This window comes from Homo sapiens, chromosome 15, assembly GCF_000001405.40.
Source record: "Homo sapiens chromosome 15, GRCh38.p14 Primary Assembly".
In the NCBI taxonomy this organism is placed as follows: domain Eukaryota; kingdom Metazoa; phylum Chordata; class Mammalia; order Primates; family Hominidae; genus Homo; species Homo sapiens.
The window spans coordinates 75664272-75684695 of record NC_000015.10 but is presented as its reverse complement, the minus strand read 5'-3'; the positions used below and the strand labels follow the sequence as shown (position 1 = coordinate 75684695).

General features: G+C 57.4%; 1 protein-coding gene across 2 annotated transcripts in view, besides 2 other annotated features; it reads left to right on the top strand.

Moving 5' to 3' along the window:
- The window catches only part of CSPG4 (chondroitin sulfate proteoglycan 4), a 39145-nt gene extending 28771 nt beyond the window's left edge, over nucleotides 1-10374 (top strand). For both annotated transcript variants that reach the window (XM_047432196.1, NM_001897.5), the window contains exons 6-10: nucleotides 1655-1853; nucleotides 1955-2089; nucleotides 2237-2403; nucleotides 6810-6993; nucleotides 7312-10374. In XM_047432196.1, coding sequence (XP_047288152.1) covers nucleotides 1655-1853; nucleotides 1955-2089; nucleotides 2237-2403; nucleotides 6810-6993; nucleotides 7312-9146 — 2520 coding nt within the window. In that variant the 3' untranslated portion in view covers nucleotides 9147-10374. The remainder of the gene's footprint in view (nucleotides 1-1654; nucleotides 1854-1954; nucleotides 2090-2236; nucleotides 2404-6809; nucleotides 6994-7311) is intronic.
- Nucleotides 1395-2239: an enhancer, noted in NCBI's record as "H3K4me1 hESC enhancer chr15:75974798-75975642 (GRCh37/hg19 assembly coordinates)". NCBI's record gives its function as "activates a minimal SCP1, AML or CMV promoter by ChIP-STARR-seq in primed H9 embryonic stem cells {active_cell/tissue: H9 hESC(primed)}" and the evidence as "EXISTENCE:reporter gene assay evidence [ECO:0000049][PMID:30033119]".
- Nucleotides 9591-10378: an enhancer, noted in NCBI's record as "H3K4me1 hESC enhancer chr15:75966659-75967446 (GRCh37/hg19 assembly coordinates)". NCBI's record gives its function as "activates a minimal SCP1, AML or CMV promoter by ChIP-STARR-seq in naive H9 embryonic stem cells {active_cell/tissue: H9 hESC(naive)}" and the evidence as "EXISTENCE:reporter gene assay evidence [ECO:0000049][PMID:30033119]".

The window sequence follows — 20424 nt, the reverse complement described above, 5'->3', positions numbered from 1 at the left end:
AAAGAGGCCAGCGTCCCCTACTTCGCGGCTCAGAGCTCCCCCAGCTCTGATCCTCAGTTTCCTCCTCTGCAAAATGGGGACGCTGCCACATGCCTCACGGGGTTGTTGGAAGGAGAGAAGTGAGATTGTGCTGAAATAGAACACAGGTGGGAAGTTTTTTTATTGGATGTTTGCAAGTATGGTAGGCAGACTTCTGAGCGGCCACGGGTGGCTCTGCTGTTCCTTCTTCTGTGGCTAAGGACCAGAACATCTGACAGAATCACTTACAAGCCCTTAAGGGCAGGCATCAGGGCGGAAGCTGTTAAGTTTCCCACCTTCACCCAGCAAGTGAAGGCCATGGCTTGGCTCCCCAAACTCCTGCACAAGGCTGTTCCACGCCCAGCAGGACAGTGCAGGGAAGGCCCTGGTGAACTTCGCTCAGGCAGAGGTAAGGGCCCCACTCTGCAGGTGGAAGTTGAGGCCCAGACGTGGGATGGAACTTCTCCATGGTTGCAAAAGTAGTTCTGGTGGAACAGAAAGGGCATGGCTTTACAAAGCCCACATGGCAGGGCTTTGAACCCCAGCTTCTGGGGTGCATCCTCCCCGGTCAGCAGGAGCCACTGAAGTTTCCATAAAGGGCTGACTTGGGCTGTCTCTGGCATGGGGTGCCTGGGGCGGGGGTGGGGGCGGGGCCTTGGTGGTCTAGGATGTGCCCGTAGCGGGTGGCCTGGTGGTGCGGAAGCCGCCAAAGAGTGGGACACAGTGCTCTGGAACCACAGGCCAGGACGGCTGTGTGGCAGCACAGCCACCAGGTGGTGCCATCTACCTGTGTTTGCTCCAGAAGCCTAGTGCTGGGGTCCTGCCCCGCAACATTATGGCCCCTCCTGCCAGGGCTGGGCCTGAGGGCTCCCTGGGGCCGGGGGAGGAAGCCCAGGAATGCCAGAAGGCTCTGTTTTCCGGGCATGTGAGTCCCACTGCAGCTCTGCCCGCAAGTAATTGACCCAGCAAGACTGGTACCAGGACCTCAGGAACAGGCACCTGCTCTGCTTGCAAGTGGGAGGCCTGAAAAAGGGGTCCCCTTTGCCCAACATAAGGAGGGCCCCTAACTGCTCTGGAAGCACCTGGGCCCATCCCACGCTGATTCTGTGCTGCAGAACAGTGCCAACCATCAGCCCCCCACTCTCTGCGCCACGCACCCCTCCCTCAGCTGGAAGGAGGGCCCATTTCTAAAATCACCATTCCCACCTGTGCCCGGCCCCGGCCAGGCACACACGGAGGCTCTGAAAGGAGACCCCTGTCCCACCAGTGAGACAGATTAGGGAGCACTGTTGGTCAGCGCTGGGGGTTTCTGGGAGTGAGAACTTGGTGAGGGTAAGAGCTGGGGCCTTCCTGGGTAGGGGACATAAGCTGGCCTTGAGGGACACACAGGACTAGGGCAGATGGAGAGCAGGGAGGCTGGGCCTGGAGGGTGACCTTCCCTGGGGCCTTCCCTGGGGTGACAGGGAAGGTGAATGCGGGAGGCCCTTTGTGCAGGGGAGCCAGAGTGGCGCCAGCCTCGATGCCACCCGAGGGGCTGAGCCGCAGCAGGACTGGAGCCCTGGTGGCAGCCCAGGGCCGGGGAGGAAGGGGTGGGTGAGTGCGGCAAGGCAGAACCTTCACAGGCCTGTGTTCCCAGATGTGGGAGGGGGCCACTGCGCCCATCCCTGCGGAGGCTCTGAGGAGCACGGACGGCGACTCTGGGTCTGAGGATCTGGTCTACACCATCGAGCAGCCCAGCAACGGGCGGGTAGTGCTGCGGGGGGCGCCGGGCACTGAGGTGCGCAGCTTCACGCAGGCCCAGCTGGACGGCGGGCTCGTGCTGTTCTCACACAGAGGTGGGTGCTGAGGGCCGGGCCTCGGGTTCCTGCTGCCCACGGGGGTGCCCTGAGATGGGGAGCCGGCTCGGGCCAGCTGGACCCAATGCCCCTGTCCCCAGGAACCCTGGATGGAGGCTTCCGCTTCCGCCTCTCTGACGGCGAGCACACTTCCCCCGGACACTTCTTCCGAGTGACGGCCCAGAAGCAAGTGCTCCTCTCGCTGAAGGGCAGCCAGACACTGACTGTCTGCCCAGGTGGGTGTGCTGATCATGGGCATTCCTGGGTGCCAGGAGCTGGGGCGGAGCTGAGGGTGGCATGCCAGGGTCACGCTGCCTCTTTGCAAACACAGGCCTGGACCTGGCTCCCAGTCAAAATCTGATATCCCCTTTTGCCTCTGGCAGGGTCCGTCCAGCCACTCAGCAGTCAGACCCTCAGGGCCAGCTCCAGCGCAGGCACTGACCCCCAGCTCCTGCTCTACCGTGTGGTGCGGGGCCCCCAGCTAGGCCGGCTGTTCCACGCCCAGCAGGACAGCACAGGGGAGGCCCTGGTGAACTTCACTCAGGCAGAGGTAAGGGCCCAACTTTGCAGCCACCACTCAGATGCCCCCAGCCTCAGGTGGCCGCTGTGCCATGGACATCATGTGGACATGGATGCCAGCTCCAGCATCACTGGCAGCAGACGTTCCCGGGCCTGCCATTGTCCAGGCGCTAGTGTCCTGTCCTCCAGGAGCCGCCAGGCTGGCAGGGCAAGTTCATGTTCCCAGAAGGAGGGAGAAGGATGCAGAAAGTCGGGGATACAGGGCCCTAGAGCAGGGCTGGGGTCTTGGGGTATAGCTTCCAGAAGGAAGCTACAGCCGGACCCGAGGGTCTGGAGAGGGGGCACCATGTGGGGGCACTAGTGGTACCCCAGTAGCTGATGAGGGGCAGTGCTTGGTGGGGGATGGAGTTGGACGTGAAGCAGCGGCTGGGCCTGTGGGCAGAGGTGTGAGCCTGGGGCTCAGGTCAAGTGCCAGCCAGAGGCAGAGTGGATCCTAGGGGCAGATGAGCTGATGAAAGGCAGCTGAGTCAGCCAAGAGGGTGAAGCTGCTGTTCATCCGTCCTGGTGGCTTCAGAGACCACCAGGAAGAATTAGAGCTCTCAGCCATGGGTAGCAGCAGACTCTCTGTGATAACTGTGCCATGGGGGCCAGCCCAGTCATCACTTAAATGAACACCACTCGCTGAAGACAGAACAGGAGTTGTTCCATAGCAGGGCAGAGCGGGGCAGACTCTTCCATGGGCCATCCCAGGCAGGCGGCACATGTGATGCTCCCGCCAGGAGGCTGCATGGGCATCTGGACCCAGCACATGATGACAGTGAATTCTGGGTAGGGAGTGGTCTTGTGGGGCGCAGAGCTGACTCTCACTCAGGAGCCACAGCATATGGTACTGCCCCAAGTACCTCCTGAGGGGTCCCCCTGCCAGCCTTCAAAAAATGGCAGAGCCCACCCCAGCCCCCTTTCCTAGCTCGGCAGGGACTCCTGAGCCTGGCACTCTCCCTCCTGAGAGGTGCAGATGGTATTCAGCAAGTGCAAAGGCAAAGTCCCTGCCCAGCAAGTGGCTCAGATTTGGGCATCTGGAAGGAGGTGGCTTTGACAGGTGGAATGAAGTTTCTTGGGCTTCTCACATCAACACCTCCCAGTCCCAGGTTCTGTATTTCCCTGGCTCCCCACTCCTGCTATGGCCCCCTCCCCACAATGAGATATTTGTCAGGCTGGTGTCTGCAGCTGCTGCGTACCCTCAGTTGCTGGGAGCCTTTGTCAAGAATGCCCAGGAATGGAGAGGGCACGGGACCAGGCCATCAGCAACCCTCTTGCACTTTATAGTCCCACGTTACTCAGAGCTTCCCCGTGCCCCAGAAATATGAAGGACTAGACTGAATGGACACCAGGGGGTCAGGCTGGCAGTGCCACCCAGGAAAGCAGGGAAGAGGCTACGTGGGCTACCCTGGCCCACTCTGGGAGGAGGGCAGGACTGGGTATTGTCTTGACAGCAGCCCTGTCCCACAACACTAAACTGGGCAGGGAAGGGGTCAGGTGTCCCCATTTTTCAGATAAGGAAACAGGCTCGTGGAGGGCAGGTAACTTTATTCAGAGCACATGGCGAGTAAGAGGCAAAACTTCTGCCTGCGAGTCCAGGATTTCCTTCACTGGAGGACACTGCTTGCTCCCCAGAGCTCAAGACCCTGTTTTTTGTCTCACTCCCACCCACAGAGCTCCCGTACCCAGGCATCAGCTCCCACTCCCACTCCTGGGGGCTCCATTTCCTTCCTGCCCACCATTCAGCCTGGGCCAGAAGTTGCCACTGGCAACTCTAGTCCTGGGCCAGATCTGGCCCACAGACGTGTTTATTTGGCCTACAAAAAGCAGCTAATACTTTGAAGTTAATTGTCAACATATAACCTTTGGGAAATTAAACAAAAAACTTGATTCCCATTTTCTTAAAAGGCCTGTGTTCCCTCTTACAGCGAAAGCAGGGGAGCAGCCACTTCCTTTAGAACAGGTGCTAGCCCCTATTCAGATAGCTCGGCTCTCCTTCAGACTGGGCTCAGCTGCCCTTTAGCCCAGGCTCTGCTCCCCTTAGACCAGGCCCTGCCCCCACCTCAGACTGGGCCCTGCCTCCCCTTAGCCCGGCCCTGCTCTCCCTTAGCCCAGGCCCTGCCCCATCTTAGACGGGGCCCTGCTCCCCTTACTCCGGCCCCTGCTCCCCCTTACTCCGGGTTCTGCTCCTAGAGTCTTCACAGGTTAAGACCCTGTTAAGTTTCCATGTTACTATTGGGCAAGTCCTGTTTTTCTCTGAGAAGAAAATAGTTCCCAGTGTTTCCTAAAAGGGGAAAATAAGGCCGGGCGCGGTGGCTCACAGCTGTAATCCCAGCACTTTGGGAGGCCAAGGCGGGTGGATCACGAGGTCAAGAGATCGAAACTATCCTGGCTAACATGGTGAAACCCCATCTCTACTAAAATACAAAAAATGAGCTGGGCGTGGTGGCACGCATTTATAGTCCCAGCTACTCAGGAGGCTGAGGCAGGGGAATCGCTTGAACCCGGGAGGTGGAGGTGGAGGTTGCAGTGAGCCAAGATCGTGCCACTGCATTCCAGCCTGGGCGACAGAGCAAGACTCCGTCTCAAAAAAAAGGGTGGGTGGGGAGCAAAAGATAGGCCAAAAGAACACATTGTGATTGGAGGTGGAGAAAACCGTTTTTCTTCCTGGAGCGAAGAATATTCTTTGGTGTTGAACTGCAGGCAGCACCATAGAACAGCAGGTGTGTCTGGAGTGGAGGTGAGGGGAGTTGAGGTCGCAGGGGTGATATGGTCACAGCCAGGCCTTAGTGGTCAGATGGGGAGACACTGCACTATGTGAGCCAAAGAGCCCCATAATCTTCCCTTTCAAAAGGCTCACTCTGGCTGCTGTGTTAGGAACAAAATGTAATGGGCGGGGGACTGCAGCTGGGACACAGGAAGCTGTTACGATAATCCAGGTGAGAGATGCGGTGGTTTGAGGGAAAGAGAGGATGCAAGGGTGGTTCCAAGGGTGTGGCCTGAGCCCTTGAAAACGGAGCTATAGTCTCTGAAGCAGGATGACTGTAGGAGGTGGGGGCCGATCGGGAGTGCAGCCGGGGCAGGTTGAGTTTGAGGTGTCTATTAGATATCGGCAGAGGTAGCTGGAAACATGAGTCTGGGGTTCAGGGGAGAGCAGGCTAGGCTGGAGCTACAAATAAGGGGGTCTCAGCACAGCTGGCATTTGAGGCCAGGAGACTGAATAAGGACTCATGGAGAGTGCCTGTAGACAGAAAAGAGCCTGGAGACCTGGCCATAAGATGTTGGGGAGAAGAGGAGGACCAGCCAGGAGAGTCTGTGAGGTAGGAGGAACCCCAGAGTGAAGTATCCCAGAGCCTGTGGCTCTCTTGGAGGAAGGGTTGCTTGGCGGCACCAGTGCCACTGAGCAGTTAAGAGGAGGCTGAGAGCCGACCGCTGGATCCAACAACACGGAGGCCTCTGGTGCCCTTGGCAAAAGGAGATGTGGCGATGGGGGAGCAAAATCCTGGGTAGAGAGACCCAAGAATGCCTGGGGGAGAGCGTGGACTATGCTTTTTGAAGTTTTGCTGCAAAGAGAAGCAAAGGGGCAGGGGTGAAGCTGGTGGAAAATGTGAAGTCAAGAATAGTTTTTTCTGGCCAGGTGCAGTGCCTCCTGCCTGTAATCCTAGCACTCTGGGAGGCCGAGGCAAGTGGACCGCTTGAGCCCAGAAGTTCAAGACCAGCCTGGGCAACATAGTGAGACCCTGTCTCAACAAACAATAAAAAAAAATAGCTGGGTGTGGTGGCATGTGCCTGCAGTCCCCGCTACTTGGGAAGCTGAGGTGGGAGGATCGCTTGAGCCCTGGAGGTCGAGGCTGCAGTGAGCCATGATCACGCCACTGCAGTCCAGTCTGGGCAACAGAGCAAGACCCTGTCTCAAAATAATAATAATAATAATTAATTAAATAGCTTTAATGTAAGTGAGACAAAAGAATAGCATAGTTGCATAATGAAGGGAATGATGCATCTGGGGGGAACTGACACCATAGGAGAAAGCCAAGAGACAGTAGAAGTGGTGTCTTCAGAAGGCAAGAGGGGATAGGATCCTGTGCACAAGAGGAAGTACTCGCTTTAGAGAGCAGCACAGACAGATCATTGCATTCCCCAGAGGTCAGAGAAATTAGGCGATTTCCCCAGGGTGGCAGAGTTGGGGTTTGAGCCCAGGCTCCGGCTCCAGAGCCCAGCTCTGCACTGCATTGCCTGATGTGACCCAGTGAGTTAGTGAGGGAGACAGCGGGTCACACGCACAGACCTGGGCACACCCAGGAGAGCCCAGAGTGGGGCCTGAGGAGACAAAAGTGCTCAGTGTCTGGACAACACAGGCTGGACCTGCCTCTCACCCCACGATGGTGTCTCCCCTAGGTCTACGCTGGGAATATTCTGTATGAGCATGAGATGCCCCCCGAGCCCTTTTGGGAGGCCCATGATACCCTAGAGCTCCAGCTGTCCTCGCCGCCTGCCCGGGACGTGGCCGCCACCCTTGCTGTGGCTGTGTCTTTTGAGGCTGCCTGTCCCCAGCGCCCCAGCCACCTCTGGAAGAACAAAGGTGAACAGCATGATAAGCTGGCAAGATTGTGGGGAGGGACAATGGGAGAGGCCCAGGAGGAGGGGACACGAGGCCAGGGTCAGCAGCTCCTGTCTCAGCCCCCAGGACCTGGGAAGTCACAGGGAGGGTGAGTGGGGAAGCTTTGACATCACAGCGGGGACATAGTCCTTATCCTCCTGGGAACCCTGAGCCCCACCCTGGAGGACCTGGCTTGATGGTTGGGGGGAGGCACATCCTTGCCCTGAGGCACCCCCAGCTGAGGGTCCATCACTCTCCCCTCAGTGGGCTGGACCCTCATAGCCTATGTCCCACCCCCAGGTCTCTGGGTCCCCGAGGGCCAGCGGGCCAGGATCACCGTGGCTGCTCTGGATGCCTCCAATCTCTTGGCCAGCGTTCCATCACCCCAGCGCTCAGAGCATGATGTGCTCTTCCAGGTCACACAGTTCCCCAGCCGGGGCCAGCTGTTGGTGTCCGAGGAGCCCCTCCATGCTGGGCAGCCCCACTTCCTGCAGTCCCAGCTGGCTGCAGGGCAGCTAGTGTATGCCCACGGCGGTGGGGGCACCCAGCAGGATGGCTTCCACTTTCGTGCCCACCTCCAGGGGCCAGCAGGGGCCTCCGTGGCTGGACCCCAAACCTCAGAGGCCTTTGCCATCACGGTGAGGGATGTAAATGAGCGGCCCCCTCAGCCACAGGCCTCTGTCCCACTCCGGCTCACCCGAGGCTCTCGTGCCCCCATCTCCCGGGCCCAGCTGAGTGTGGTGGACCCAGACTCAGCTCCTGGGGAGATTGAGTACGAGGTCCAGCGGGCACCCCACAACGGCTTCCTCAGCCTGGTGGGTGGTGGCCTGGGGCCCGTGACCCGCTTCACGCAAGCCGATGTGGATTCAGGGCGGCTGGCCTTCGTGGCCAACGGGAGCAGCGTGGCAGGCATCTTCCAGCTGAGCATGTCTGATGGGGCCAGCCCACCCCTGCCCATGTCCCTGGCTGTGGACATCCTACCATCCGCCATCGAGGTGCAGCTGCGGGCACCCCTGGAGGTGCCCCAAGCTTTGGGGCGCTCCTCACTGAGCCAGCAGCAGCTCCGGGTGGTTTCAGATCGGGAGGAGCCAGAGGCAGCATACCGCCTCATCCAGGGACCCCAGTATGGGCATCTCCTGGTGGGCGGGCGGCCCACCTCGGCCTTCAGCCAATTCCAGATAGACCAGGGCGAGGTGGTCTTTGCCTTCACCAACTTCTCCTCCTCTCATGACCACTTCAGAGTCCTGGCACTGGCTAGGGGTGTCAATGCATCAGCCGTAGTGAACGTCACTGTGAGGGCTCTGCTGCATGTGTGGGCAGGTGGGCCATGGCCCCAGGGTGCCACCCTGCGCCTGGACCCCACCGTCCTAGATGCTGGCGAGCTGGCCAACCGCACAGGCAGTGTGCCGCGCTTCCGCCTCCTGGAGGGACCCCGGCATGGCCGCGTGGTCCGCGTGCCCCGAGCCAGGACGGAGCCCGGGGGCAGCCAGCTGGTGGAGCAGTTCACTCAGCAGGACCTTGAGGACGGGAGGCTGGGGCTGGAGGTGGGCAGGCCAGAGGGGAGGGCCCCCGGCCCCGCAGGTGACAGTCTCACTCTGGAGCTGTGGGCACAGGGCGTCCCGCCTGCTGTGGCCTCCCTGGACTTTGCCACTGAGCCTTACAATGCTGCCCGGCCCTACAGCGTGGCCCTGCTCAGTGTCCCCGAGGCCGCCCGGACGGAAGCAGGGAAGCCAGAGAGCAGCACCCCCACAGGCGAGCCAGGCCCCATGGCATCCAGCCCTGAGCCCGCTGTGGCCAAGGGAGGCTTCCTGAGCTTCCTTGAGGCCAACATGTTCAGCGTCATCATCCCCATGTGCCTGGTACTTCTGCTCCTGGCGCTCATCCTGCCCCTGCTCTTCTACCTCCGAAAACGCAACAAGACGGGCAAGCATGACGTCCAGGTCCTGACTGCCAAGCCCCGCAACGGCCTGGCTGGTGACACCGAGACCTTTCGCAAGGTGGAGCCAGGCCAGGCCATCCCGCTCACAGCTGTGCCTGGCCAGGGGCCCCCTCCAGGAGGCCAGCCTGACCCAGAGCTGCTGCAGTTCTGCCGGACACCCAACCCTGCCCTTAAGAATGGCCAGTACTGGGTGTGAGGCCTGGCCTGGGCCCAGATGCTGATCGGGCCAGGGACAGGCTTGCCCATGTCCCGGGCCCCATTGCTTCCATGCCTGGTGCTGTCTGAGTATCCCCAGAGCAAGAGAGACCTGGAGACACCAGGGGTGGAGGGTCCTGGGAGATAGTCCCAGGGGTCCGGGACAGAGTGGAGTCAAGAGCTGGAACCTCCCTCAGCTCACTCCGAGCCTGGAGAACTGCAGGGGCCAAGGTGGAGGCAGGCTTAAGTTCAGTCCTCCTGCCCTGGAGCTGGTTTGGGCTGTCAAAACCAGGGTAACCTCCTACATGGGTCATGACTCTGGGTCCTGGGTCTGTGACCTTGGGTAAGTCGCGCCTGACCCAGGCTGCTAAGAGGGCAAGGAGAAGGAAGTACCCTGGGGAGGGAAGGGACAGAGGAAGCTATTCCTGGCTTTTCCACTCCAACCCAGGCCACCCTTTGTCTCTGCCCCAGAGTTGAGAAAAAAACTTCCTCCCCTGGTTTTTTAGGGAGATGGTATCCCCTGGAGTAGAGGGCAAGAGGAGAGAGCGCCTCCAGTCTAGAAGGCATAAGCCAATAGGATAATATATTCAGGGTGCAGGGTGGGTAGGTTGCTCTGGGGATGGGTTTATTTAAGGGAGATTGCAAGGAAGCTATTTAACATGGTGCTGAGCTAGCCAGGACTGATGGAGCCCCTGGGGGTGTGGGATGGAGGAGGGTCTGCAGCCAGTTCATTCCCAGGGCCCCATCTTGATGGGCCAAGGGCTAAACATGCATGTGTCAGTGGCTTTGGAGCAGGTTAGGCTGGGGCTCATCGAGGGTCTCAGGCCGAGGCCACTGCGGTGCCAGTGCCCCCCTGAGGACTAGGGCAGGCAGCTGGGGGCACTTGGTTCCATGGAGCCTGGATAAACAGTGCTTTGGAGGCTCTGGACAGCTGTGTGGTGTTTGTGTCTTAACTATGCACTGGGCCCTTGTCTGCGTCGGCTTGCATACAGAGGGCCCCTGGGGTCGGCCCTCCGGCCTGGCCTCAGCCAGTGGGATGGACAGGGCCAGGCAGGCCTCTGAACTTCCACCTCCTGGGGCCTCCCAGACCTCCTGTGCCCCCACCTGTGTGGGCAGGTGGGCCAGTCTTCGGGTGATGGGACCAAACCCCTTCAGTTCAGTAGAGAAAGGCTAGGTCCTCTACAAAGAGCTGCAAGACAAAAATTAAAATAAATGCTCCCCACCCTAGATTTATTAGCCTGAGTTTCGACCTCCATACCCCTGTCCTTCCCCAGCCACCTCTCAAGGGGTTGCAGCAGCAAAGTGAAGGGAGTGGGGGGACTTGGGGATCCCAAGGCTGGGACATGGTACCAAGGGGGAGGGGGAGGAGAACCACCACAGGTGCCTCCTAGAAACTTTTACAAGGAAGGCTTCTGCTGGTGTCCACCCTCCCAACAGGAGGACCAAGTGTGCTGCTTCTCAAAGCCAGAGGAAGCAGCAAGGATTCAGAAAAGCCAGGCATCCCCGCACGTGGCCTGAGAGGCCAGCATTGGGTTACAGAGGGGTTCTGAGGCCGCGGCATCTCCAGAAGGCCCTCTCTGAGTTACTGAGTCACCACCCTCTAGACCTCTCTTGAGGGTGTCGCAGGGTTGGGGGCAATGGAGACAGATTCTGGGTCCCAGGGGATATGCCTGGCCCTGACAGTAGACTGAAGAGAGGAAGAGAAATGTGAGAGGCCTCTGAGTGCAGCCAGGGTCAGTGGGTGGGAAGCCCTGGCCAGCCTCTGGCAGCTGACCTGCATCTGGGGACCAGAGTCACCTCTTCCCTGCATCCCAACATCTGAAACATTTGAACCAGGAATGAGCAAGAGAAGTCTCCTCCCCACCCTGCCCCTGGACCGCCCCTCCTATGACGCCTCTCGCATCTCAGTGTCCAGCCTCCTAGGTCCTCCTCCACTCTGAGAGGCTTCGGGCAGGAGGCCAGGTACATCCTGCTGTTAGGGCCCCCAGAGGACCCAGGGGAGACTAAGAGTCAGGGAGGGGAAGAGGGCTGTCACACAGCAAGGCGCTTCTTGCCACACTGAAAAGCAGGACTCCCCAGGGAGGGTGACCAGGGCCCCAGAGATCCCTCTGCACCCTGAGCTCACCGTGCACAGGGCTCCGCGTGAGCCTGCTCCGTTCCTTCTACAAGCCTGGTCTCTCTGGCGCCCCAGGCCAGCCTGAGGCAGGGGCCTGGCCAAGGGTGTCTCTACACCACATCCCCTCCCAGGAGCTCAGGCTGGAGCCTCAGGGCCCTGATATCTGGAGCAAGTCTCTACCCAGGGTGACCAGTTTCCCTGGAAGTGTAAGCTGAGAAGAGGGTGAGAGACCCAGCAGGCAGGATCTGGCCTGGTCTCCGATTTCCCCCAGAGGACTGAGGACACACTCTGTTCACATAGCCTGGCCCGGCCTGCCCTGCCCCCAGGGAGCTGGCACCAGCTGACACCGTTCCAGCTCCTCTGAGCCCATGCAGGACAGTGGGCTGGCACCCAGGGCACTGTGCCAGCAGCTCTGCTAGGACCTGGGAGAGGGTCTTTCATGGGCACACCAGAGCTGAGAACCCAACCTAAACGTGGGACCTTGGTTTATGTAAATCCCTTTCCCCAGGGCTTAAGGGGCTTGTCTCCACTTTACAAAGTAACTCACCATCCCCCTCCTTTAAGGAGCCAGTTCCTCCCAGGCGCTGGAGATAACAGCCAACCCATGTGCAAGTGTTCAGGAATGTCTGGGAGCTCCTGACCCTCTCCACACAAACAAACATACACAAATCCATAATGTGCCTTTGTGCACGCCATTGTGTATATGAACACAGGCTCATGCATGACCTTCAGACACACAACACAGAGATAAATACCTACCTACCTAAGACACAAACGCATACGCGGGGGCACACACAAATTTCAGAAGTATATGCTCCTTACCTGGGGCCCCCTGCAGTCCCAGCTAGCCTAGTCGGGCAAAGGAGTCAGGATTTTCTGCCCATTAAGGCACTCAAGCTGACATCAGCAGAATTGCAAAGTGAGCCCACTGGTGGGGGAAGGGGACAGGGTAGGAGTTGCCAGAGGGGCCCAGATCCCCAGGACCCCAGCTTAGAAACCCTGCCCACCACCCTAAGTGGCTTAGTCTCTCAGGTGCTAGAGAAGGGGCTCCCTCTGAGCCCTTCCCTGCATCCTAGAAGCCAGTCCTTTAAGCAGATTGCTCTGGCAGCCAGGGAGCCCACTGAGCTTGCACACTCATCCCCCAATAGGAAGCCAGAGAAGTGCTTCTGCCACCCCACACCGACCTCCCCTGACCAATGAGAACTGCCAGGGCTGCTGGCATCTTCCTCCAGGCCCTGAAGATTCCAGATCTCAAAGAGGTGGAGGTTCTTCCTGGGCAGAACTCCAGACCTCTCTGGTTGGATCTCCCATTCCTGGCCGTAAGATGTCGGGAAGCCCTGGTAAATAGTTGGGACCAAGGTAGAGAACCAGACCCGCTGGGCTCCTCTACACAGCTCCACTCCGACCCTAGGGCCTCTCATAGGTAACGCCATCCCTGTGGAGTTACCGCTAAGATTGGTCAGGCAATAGCCAGAGCATTTTGTGCCAAAAATGCAGTGGAAGATGTAGATAGGAATCCAATCAGCCCTTCCTGAAGAGCCGCAGGCATACCATTGAATAACTACCTAACCCTGACATGTGCCTTCACCCAGCGGTGTGAGCAGGCCAGTGAGGGGAAGCGCAGAGTGGGAGGGCTCACTGCCTCTGTCTGCTTCCTCCTCTCCTTAGAGAAGGCTGGTCCTTTCCATGGAAGGCCCAGCCACATGGCAGCTAAAGCTGGGCATGTTCAGCTACATCCTGGTTACATTTCTATTCTCAGTGTAATGGATTACAGTATTTAACTGATGGCTACTAGCCTCACAAAGGGCATCAGCTCCTTGGAGGGCCCTCTGTGGCCACCAAGATAATTGGTGGGTTGTGTTGTGTTCCTTCATGTTCCAGATGTCCTGTGAGCCCCTAGAGACAGAAGCAACCCTGGATTAAATCGCCCAGTTGCCAAGAAGGACTTTTTTACCCAAACACAGCCTCAGCAGGGGACTAGGATAGTTCCCCTGCCTGCCAACCTGAGATCCGTGCTCTGTTAGTCCAGAGCCTGGAGCTAATCCCAAGGCTTCCTTCTGATGCCTCGTGAGATTGCAAAGGACCCAAGAGACACAGTCTCTGGGTCTTGCAGACTCAAATGCAATGAGTTGCCTAAGTCTTTGCTGCTCAAAGTGGAGTCCATGAACTGGCAGCACCGGCATTACCTGGGAGCTTGTTGGAAATGAAGACTCTCAGGCCCTACCCCAGAGTAGCTGAATCAGACTGTGTTTTAACAAGGTCCCTGGTGATTAGAAGACACATGACACAGTGTAAGTCCTGACTGAAGTCTTCCCCTCACCCTTTAATTAGGGGACACTAAAATGGGAGAGGCAGGGCCCAGACCAAGATCATACAGTGAGCTGGTGGCTGAGCTGGAAGAGGGGTCAGACCTCGAGCCCTGTCCCAGGGTTTTCTATTCCACTTCAGCTCTCACTCTTGCAAAGACCCCCACATCCGCTGCAGGTTTGGAGGGATGGGTTCTGACATGGGTTCCTTCCCCAGGGGACTCCAGTGAGGACAAGAGAGGGAAGCAGAGGAGGGTAAGACCAGCAGCCAGATCTGATCCAATGGGGAGGCTCTGCAGGAAACAGCCTACTCCCATCCTTACCTCCCAAAGATGGGGCCCTGGGAAGTACAGTAGCCCCACCACCCCACCTTCTGTAATCTGGCTGCTCCTTCCCTTCCTGTCCCTTCCCTGCCCATCTGGTCTCACCTGTCAGGGGAAGAGATGAAGGGAAGTGTCCGGCCAATGTCACCAGTCAGTGCCTGTGTCATGCACAGGGCCTCCCCCATGGAGGAGCAGGGCAGCCAGCAGGAGAGGGGAAAGAAGCCACCTGTCACACTGCCAGCCAGGCCTGGTCAGAAGGAGGGCATGGGACACCCAGAGCTCTCTGTCCCGCAGAGGTGCCCCACTGTCTCTCCTGTCCACAGAAGGAATGCTGGTCTATGGCCCCCAGCCTGTGGGCTATCCTGGTGCTGGGAGTGCCTTTGGGACCCCCACCAACTCCACTCCCCTCCTGGGTTGTTGAGCCAAAGCCCAGGTGAAGGCCCCAGACCCCCACACCCTGCAGTAGGCATCGTTCAATTCTATACACTCCACTAAGGCAGTGTGTAGCCTGGCCTAGCCACTGCTGTGCCCATGCTGGGTACACAGTAGATGTCCAGCAAACATCTACTGCCAGAACACAGCACCCCCTTCCCTCAGACATGCCCTCAAGCCAAGAGGCCTCTGACCACCCATCCTACCCAGACCTCTCCTGGGTTCCCACTCTGGCTCCCCTGCTCCTCTCACCCCCAGGGTTGCTGGCTGGGCTCTCGATGGCTGCTCTGGCCCCAGATCTCTGCTAGGGCCCAGGCTGACCTGACCCCAGGCCCTGAGTTTCTGTCGGGTGGATTTAATCTTTCCCTCCCAGATGCTTCAGAGCTCACTGCACACCTCCTTCAGACTCGCCCGTGGCTCCCTCCCACCCAGACACCTGAGGTCATTCTGCCTGAACGTGTTCTGCCTATAGGGTCTATCTCAGAACGCTATGGGCAGAACACGTTCACCAAATCACACGTGGGGGCTCACCACAGAAAGAAGCAAAGTTAAGTGGGGCAGGAGGAGGAGATGACCCCAAACCCCCTTACACTCAGCCTCCCCCTGCCCAACAGCCCTCCTGAGAACATCCAGGCTCATGGGGCGCTGTGCCAGCCGGGCTAACCACTCACAGGGCTCACTTGATCACAACCTTCGGGGGCAAGGGGCAGAGCAGAGCCACGGATGCCCTCACCTCTCCCCCACCCAGACGACCGTGCATTCAATCAGGGGGCCCAGAGAAGAGGTGTGACTCAACCATAGTCACAAAGCAATTCACCGGCAGAGCTAGGCCTCCTAGAGGCTTGAAACACTTCCAGATGCCAAAGATATGTCTCTCAGCAGTGGGATGCCCAACACCTGGAGAGGCATCGGGGCCAGGCAATGGGCCAGGGATGCCAGACATGCTGGCCAGGGCAGAGACCTTCAAGAACCAGACTGCGGCAGGGGAGCCTTGTTGAGTCTTGTTGGGGAAGGTGGCGCCTGTGCTGGGGTGACCTAAAGAGCTGCTGGGCAGGTGGGCGAGGCTGGCAGAGCCTGAGCGCTCCTGGAAGTCAGTGACTCAGGTAGAAAGGCCCCTTCTGAGTCAGCCCTGCTAAAAGGTTGCCTTGTGAGTACTGCACCTGGACAAGCAACTGGGGCAAGGCCCAGGGACTCCATGAAGGTTCAAGGCCCCAGGACCTCTGCTCCCTAATCTGCCCTGAGAAGCTCAGAGTCTGGGGGCAGAACACATGAACTGAAGGAAGGAGGGCAGAGGCAGTGACTGTCCACTTGGTGAGCTTGTACAAGTCCACCCACCTGTTCTAACTCAAGAAGGGACCACTGGTTCGAGAGAGTATTGAGCCAGGCCTGGGAGCTCAGTGCCTGCTTTCTGCCTAGAAGCCCTCCTCCTGTCCCTTCCAGCATTCATGCTATGTGTCTGGCCAGAGGGCCCCAGCCCAGCTTCTGCCCTCTCTCTGAATGAAGATCTACCAAAACAGTATAACTGACCAAGGTTTCTTTCCAAAGGGTCAGTGTTAAGGCAAAGCTCTTAGAACAGCCCCTCACACACAGTAAATGCTCAATAAATGTTGGCCTTTTTTTTGTTGTTGTTCGTTTTTTTGTTTTTTTTTTGTTCGTTTTGTTTTGTTTTGAGACAGAGTCTCACTCTGTCGCCCAGGCAGATGTGCAGTGGCACGATCTCGGCTCGCTGCAAGCTCCGCCTCCGAGATTCACGCCGTTCTCCTGCCTCAGCCTCCCGAGTAGCTGGGACTTCAGGCGTCCGCCACCACGCCTGGCTAATTTTTTTTTCTGTTTTTTGGTAGAGACGGGTTTTCGCCGTGTTAGCCAGGATGGTCTCGATCTCCTGACCTCGTGATCCACCCACCTCGGCCTCCCAAAGGGCTGGGATTACAGGCGTGAGACACCGTGACCGGCTTTTTTTTTTAAAATACGGAGTCTCGCTCTGCCGCCCAGGCTGGAGTGCAGTGGCGTGATCTCGGCTCACTGCAACCTCCGCTTCCCAGGTTCAAGCGATTCTCCTGCCTCAGCCTCCCGAGTAGCTGGGACTACAGGCGCATACCACCATGCCCGGCTAATTTTTGTATTTTTAGTAGAGGCACGGTTTCACCATGTTGGCCAGGCTGGTCTCGAACTCCTGACCTCAAGTGATATGCCCGCATCTGCTTTCCAAAGTGCTGGGATCACAGGCAAAAGCCACCATGCCAGGCCGACCATTCTTATTATTGGTGTTATGATGGTTCCTCCTATTGAATGGCCCAGCATATGGGTCTGGCATGTTGTAGGTGCTTGACAAATGGTAGAAGCTGATGTTATTGTTATTATCATAATTTATGGCAGCTATCTCAGTGCCCGACACATAGTAGGTGCCGAACAAATGCTCAGTCCTTCTTTTGGATGGCCGAATGCATGTGTTCCCCATCTGGCAAAGAGAGACGCAGGGCCATTCTTCACTGGGCTGTGGCAGGGAGTGAAGTGAGGTGTGCAGCAAGGGATCCAGTTCTGGGTAGGAGCAGCTGGCAGTGCCACTCTGCCCTTCCTTGCTGCACACCCACCTCACTGATTCGGAAGGCTCTCCCTGAGGTTGGGGGTGGAGTGAGTGGGGACCATCTGGCCTACATGGTGGGGAGGTCTTGGCCTCAGGGATCCAAGAGGGAGGAGCCCCAAAGAACCTGACTGCCCAGGTGGAAGGGGCAGGCCCCTCCTGGAACACAGGGGCTGTCTGGGCTGGGCCCTGAAGAAGGAGGAGAGCTGAGCCTAAGGCAGGGTGGGAGGTGGGAAGGACAATGCAGAGCCAGAGGACGCGGACCCTGGCCTCCAGGGTAAGAAGGGGCCCTGGAGAGCAGGCTGAGAAGCCACTGTGGAGCTCCTGGCCCGACAGCAAGGAGCCCCTGGAATGAACCCGGTGCTGGGCTGAGAGCGAGGTCTTACGCCACTGCCCGCCTTCCAGGGCCAGCCCTTTAAGATGCAGAACTTGCAGGGGGGAGAGGGGGCACTGCTGGGGCACTGGACCAGATGTCTACACCCAATTGTCCCCAGCTTAAATGGCCTCAGTTGCCCAATTACACAGCAGTCACCCTAGGAGCCTTTGGAGCTGGCCAGGATGGGCCACCACCACGCCTCATACACACACACTCCACACCCCACCCAGCTGATGCCGGCCCAACTGGCTGGGTTTCAATGCCAGGGAAGAAAGAGGCTGCCTGCTCTACTGGTGGGGACAGCACGGCGCCCTGCTAGTAAGGAAGGTCAAGAAGGGGCTCTCTGGGTCCTCCAGAGGGCTGAGCAGACTGGTGCACACCCCTCTTCCACCCCTTCACACCCCATCCCTTGCTGAGAAAGAGGGAAATACTTCCCAGAACGAGTCATTGGGTCCCCAGGGGTGTGGGAAATGACATCAGGGAGTAGGCACGCATTTAGCCATCAGCTGCTGTGGCAACGTACACATGCACACGTATCCACAGGACTGCCACATGCAGCTGCGCATAAAGGCATGTGCAGACACTCGCTGACACGGTGGTGGACATGTGCAAACCAGCACCTACACACATGCCCTCCCCAGAGACCTGCAGACACAGCCATGCAGACCTCCTCAGTCACCTACTGGGAGCCAGGCACTGTGCCGGAGCTGGAGATACAGCAGTGAGCAAGACAGACAGACACCAACTCCCCAGAAAGCTGCTTTCTACTGAGGGAGACAGACCAGAAACAGCTACATTTAAAATATAACCTTTGAACTGAAGTATCCACACATGAGACTGTGTGATGCTGGAGTCCACCGGAAGGCAAAGGGTGTGGGGGAGTAAAATAGGGACCCAGTGTTGAGAATTGTTGGAGCCAAGAGGTGGGCATGTGGGGTTCTGTTATATTCGTTTCTCTACTTTTGTGTATGTTTGAAACTTTTCTTTTTTTCTGAGACATAGTCCCACTCCTTTGCCCAGGCTGGAGTGAAGTTGTGCAATCTTGGCTCACTGTAACTTCCGCCTCCCAGGCTCAAGCGATTCTCCTGCCTCAGCCTCTTGAGTAAGTGGGATTACAGGTATGCACCACCACGCTCAGCTAATTTTTGTATTTTTAGTAGAGATGGGGTTTTGTAATGTTGGCTAGACTGGTCTCAAACTCCTGACCTCAGGTGATCCGCCCACTTCAGCCTCCCAAAGTGGTGGGTATGAGCCTCCGTGCCAGGCCTGTATTTGCTTGGGAGACTGAGGCAGGAGAATCGCTTGAGCCCAGGAGGCAGAGGTTGCAGTGAGCCGAGATCACGCCAATGCACTCCAGCCTGGGTGACAAAAATAAATAAATAAGAGCTAAATACATACACATTTATAATTGGCAGCTGGTAATAAGTAAAATGAAGAAAAAATAAGGCAGGGTAAGGAAACAGAGGGACGAGGAAGTTTCATTAGATTTCAGGGTCAGGGAAGCCTTCTCCAAGGAGGTGACATTTATGTAGAGATCTGAATTAATTGAGGTGAGAACCACATGTTTATCTGGGAGGAAGAACATGCAAGACAGAGAAGAGAGCAAATGCAAAGGCCCTGAGGTCTGAGCAAACGCAGAAGAGGAAACCAGCCGACCAATGAGTCTGGAGTTCCATGACCGAAGTGCAGAGGGGTCTGACGCAAGACCAGGAAGGAGCCTTGTGGGTTGTGCTAGGAGTTTGGAAACTTTCCTAAGTATGGCAGGAAGCCCTGAGGTTGAAAGCAGGGGAGAGACATGATTTGATTTAGAATATGGTTTTAAGGCTGGGTGTGGTACTCACACCTGTAATCCCAGCACTTTGGGAGGCCGAGGCGGGTGAATTACTTGAGGTCAGGAGTTCAAAACTAGCCTGGCCAACATGGTGAAACCCCATCTCTACTAAAAATACAAAAAAAAATTAGCCAGGCAAGGTGGTGAATGCCTGTAATCCCAGCTACTCGGGAGGCTGAGGCAGAAGAATCGCTTGAACCCAGGAGGCGGAGGTTGCAGTGAGCCAAGATCAAACCATTGCACTCCAGCCTGGGCAACACAGTGAGACATCGTCTTTAAAAAAAAAAAAAGAATATGGTTTTAAAAGTTCACTCTGAGCTGTGCACAGTGGCTTATGCCTATAATCCCAGCTATGCAGGAACCTGAGGCAGGAGAATCACTTGAGGCCAGGAGTTTGAGACCAGACTGGACAATATAGCAAGACCCTGTCTCTAAAAAAAAATACATATTTTTATATATGTGTATATGCACGTGTGTGTATATGTATAAATATATATATATACATTCACATGTTTTTGTAAAAGATCACTCTGGCCCCTGTTAGACCATTAAGGAGCAGGAGAGGCAGCAGAAGGGCAGCTTGGAGGCTGCTGCAATAGTCCAGGTAAGCCTAGTGGTTTGGACCCAGGTGGTGAGAGCATTACATTTGGGGTCTCATTTGATGGACTAACAAGGCTGTGCTTGTGGATGGGATGTGGAATGAGAGAAAGAGAGGAGCCAGGCATGAGCCCAAGGTGGGCCTGAGGTTCAGGGGGAGAGGAATTGTCTTTTCCAGGCTGAGAAACACAGGGAAAAGCTCGTGTGGCTGAATGACTATAGATACCAAGCGCCAGCGCCACCACAGGGACATACACGCAGGTAGGTACAGGTGCACACACTGACAGGCACCTGCAACCACACAGGTGGGTCCACACACTCCAGGTACCAGATGCAGGCAGAGACTCCATCACCCCACCTCTGCCTGCCCCACCTGACACCCCAGCCCAGCCCCAGGGCCAGAGCCCTTTTTGGCTCAGCACTCACAAGCCCCCTTCCCCGAGTCTCGACATTTTCCTGCCAGCTCTCACTGCCCCCATATTGTCTCCTGGAGTAAGGAGGCTCCTGAGTTCTTCTCAGAGACCAGAGTCCTGCTCCTGCCCCCAGCTCGCTGCCCATGGCCTCACCTGTCTAGCCCCCTCCTCCACAGCCAGAACCTGACCCCATGCCCCAGCCTCGGGCCTTCCAGAAAATTATCTCTCCACAAATATTTGCTCAGCACTCTCTGTGGGCCAAGCCCTCTGACCTTTCACCCACTGACTTGAAGGAACACAGCCA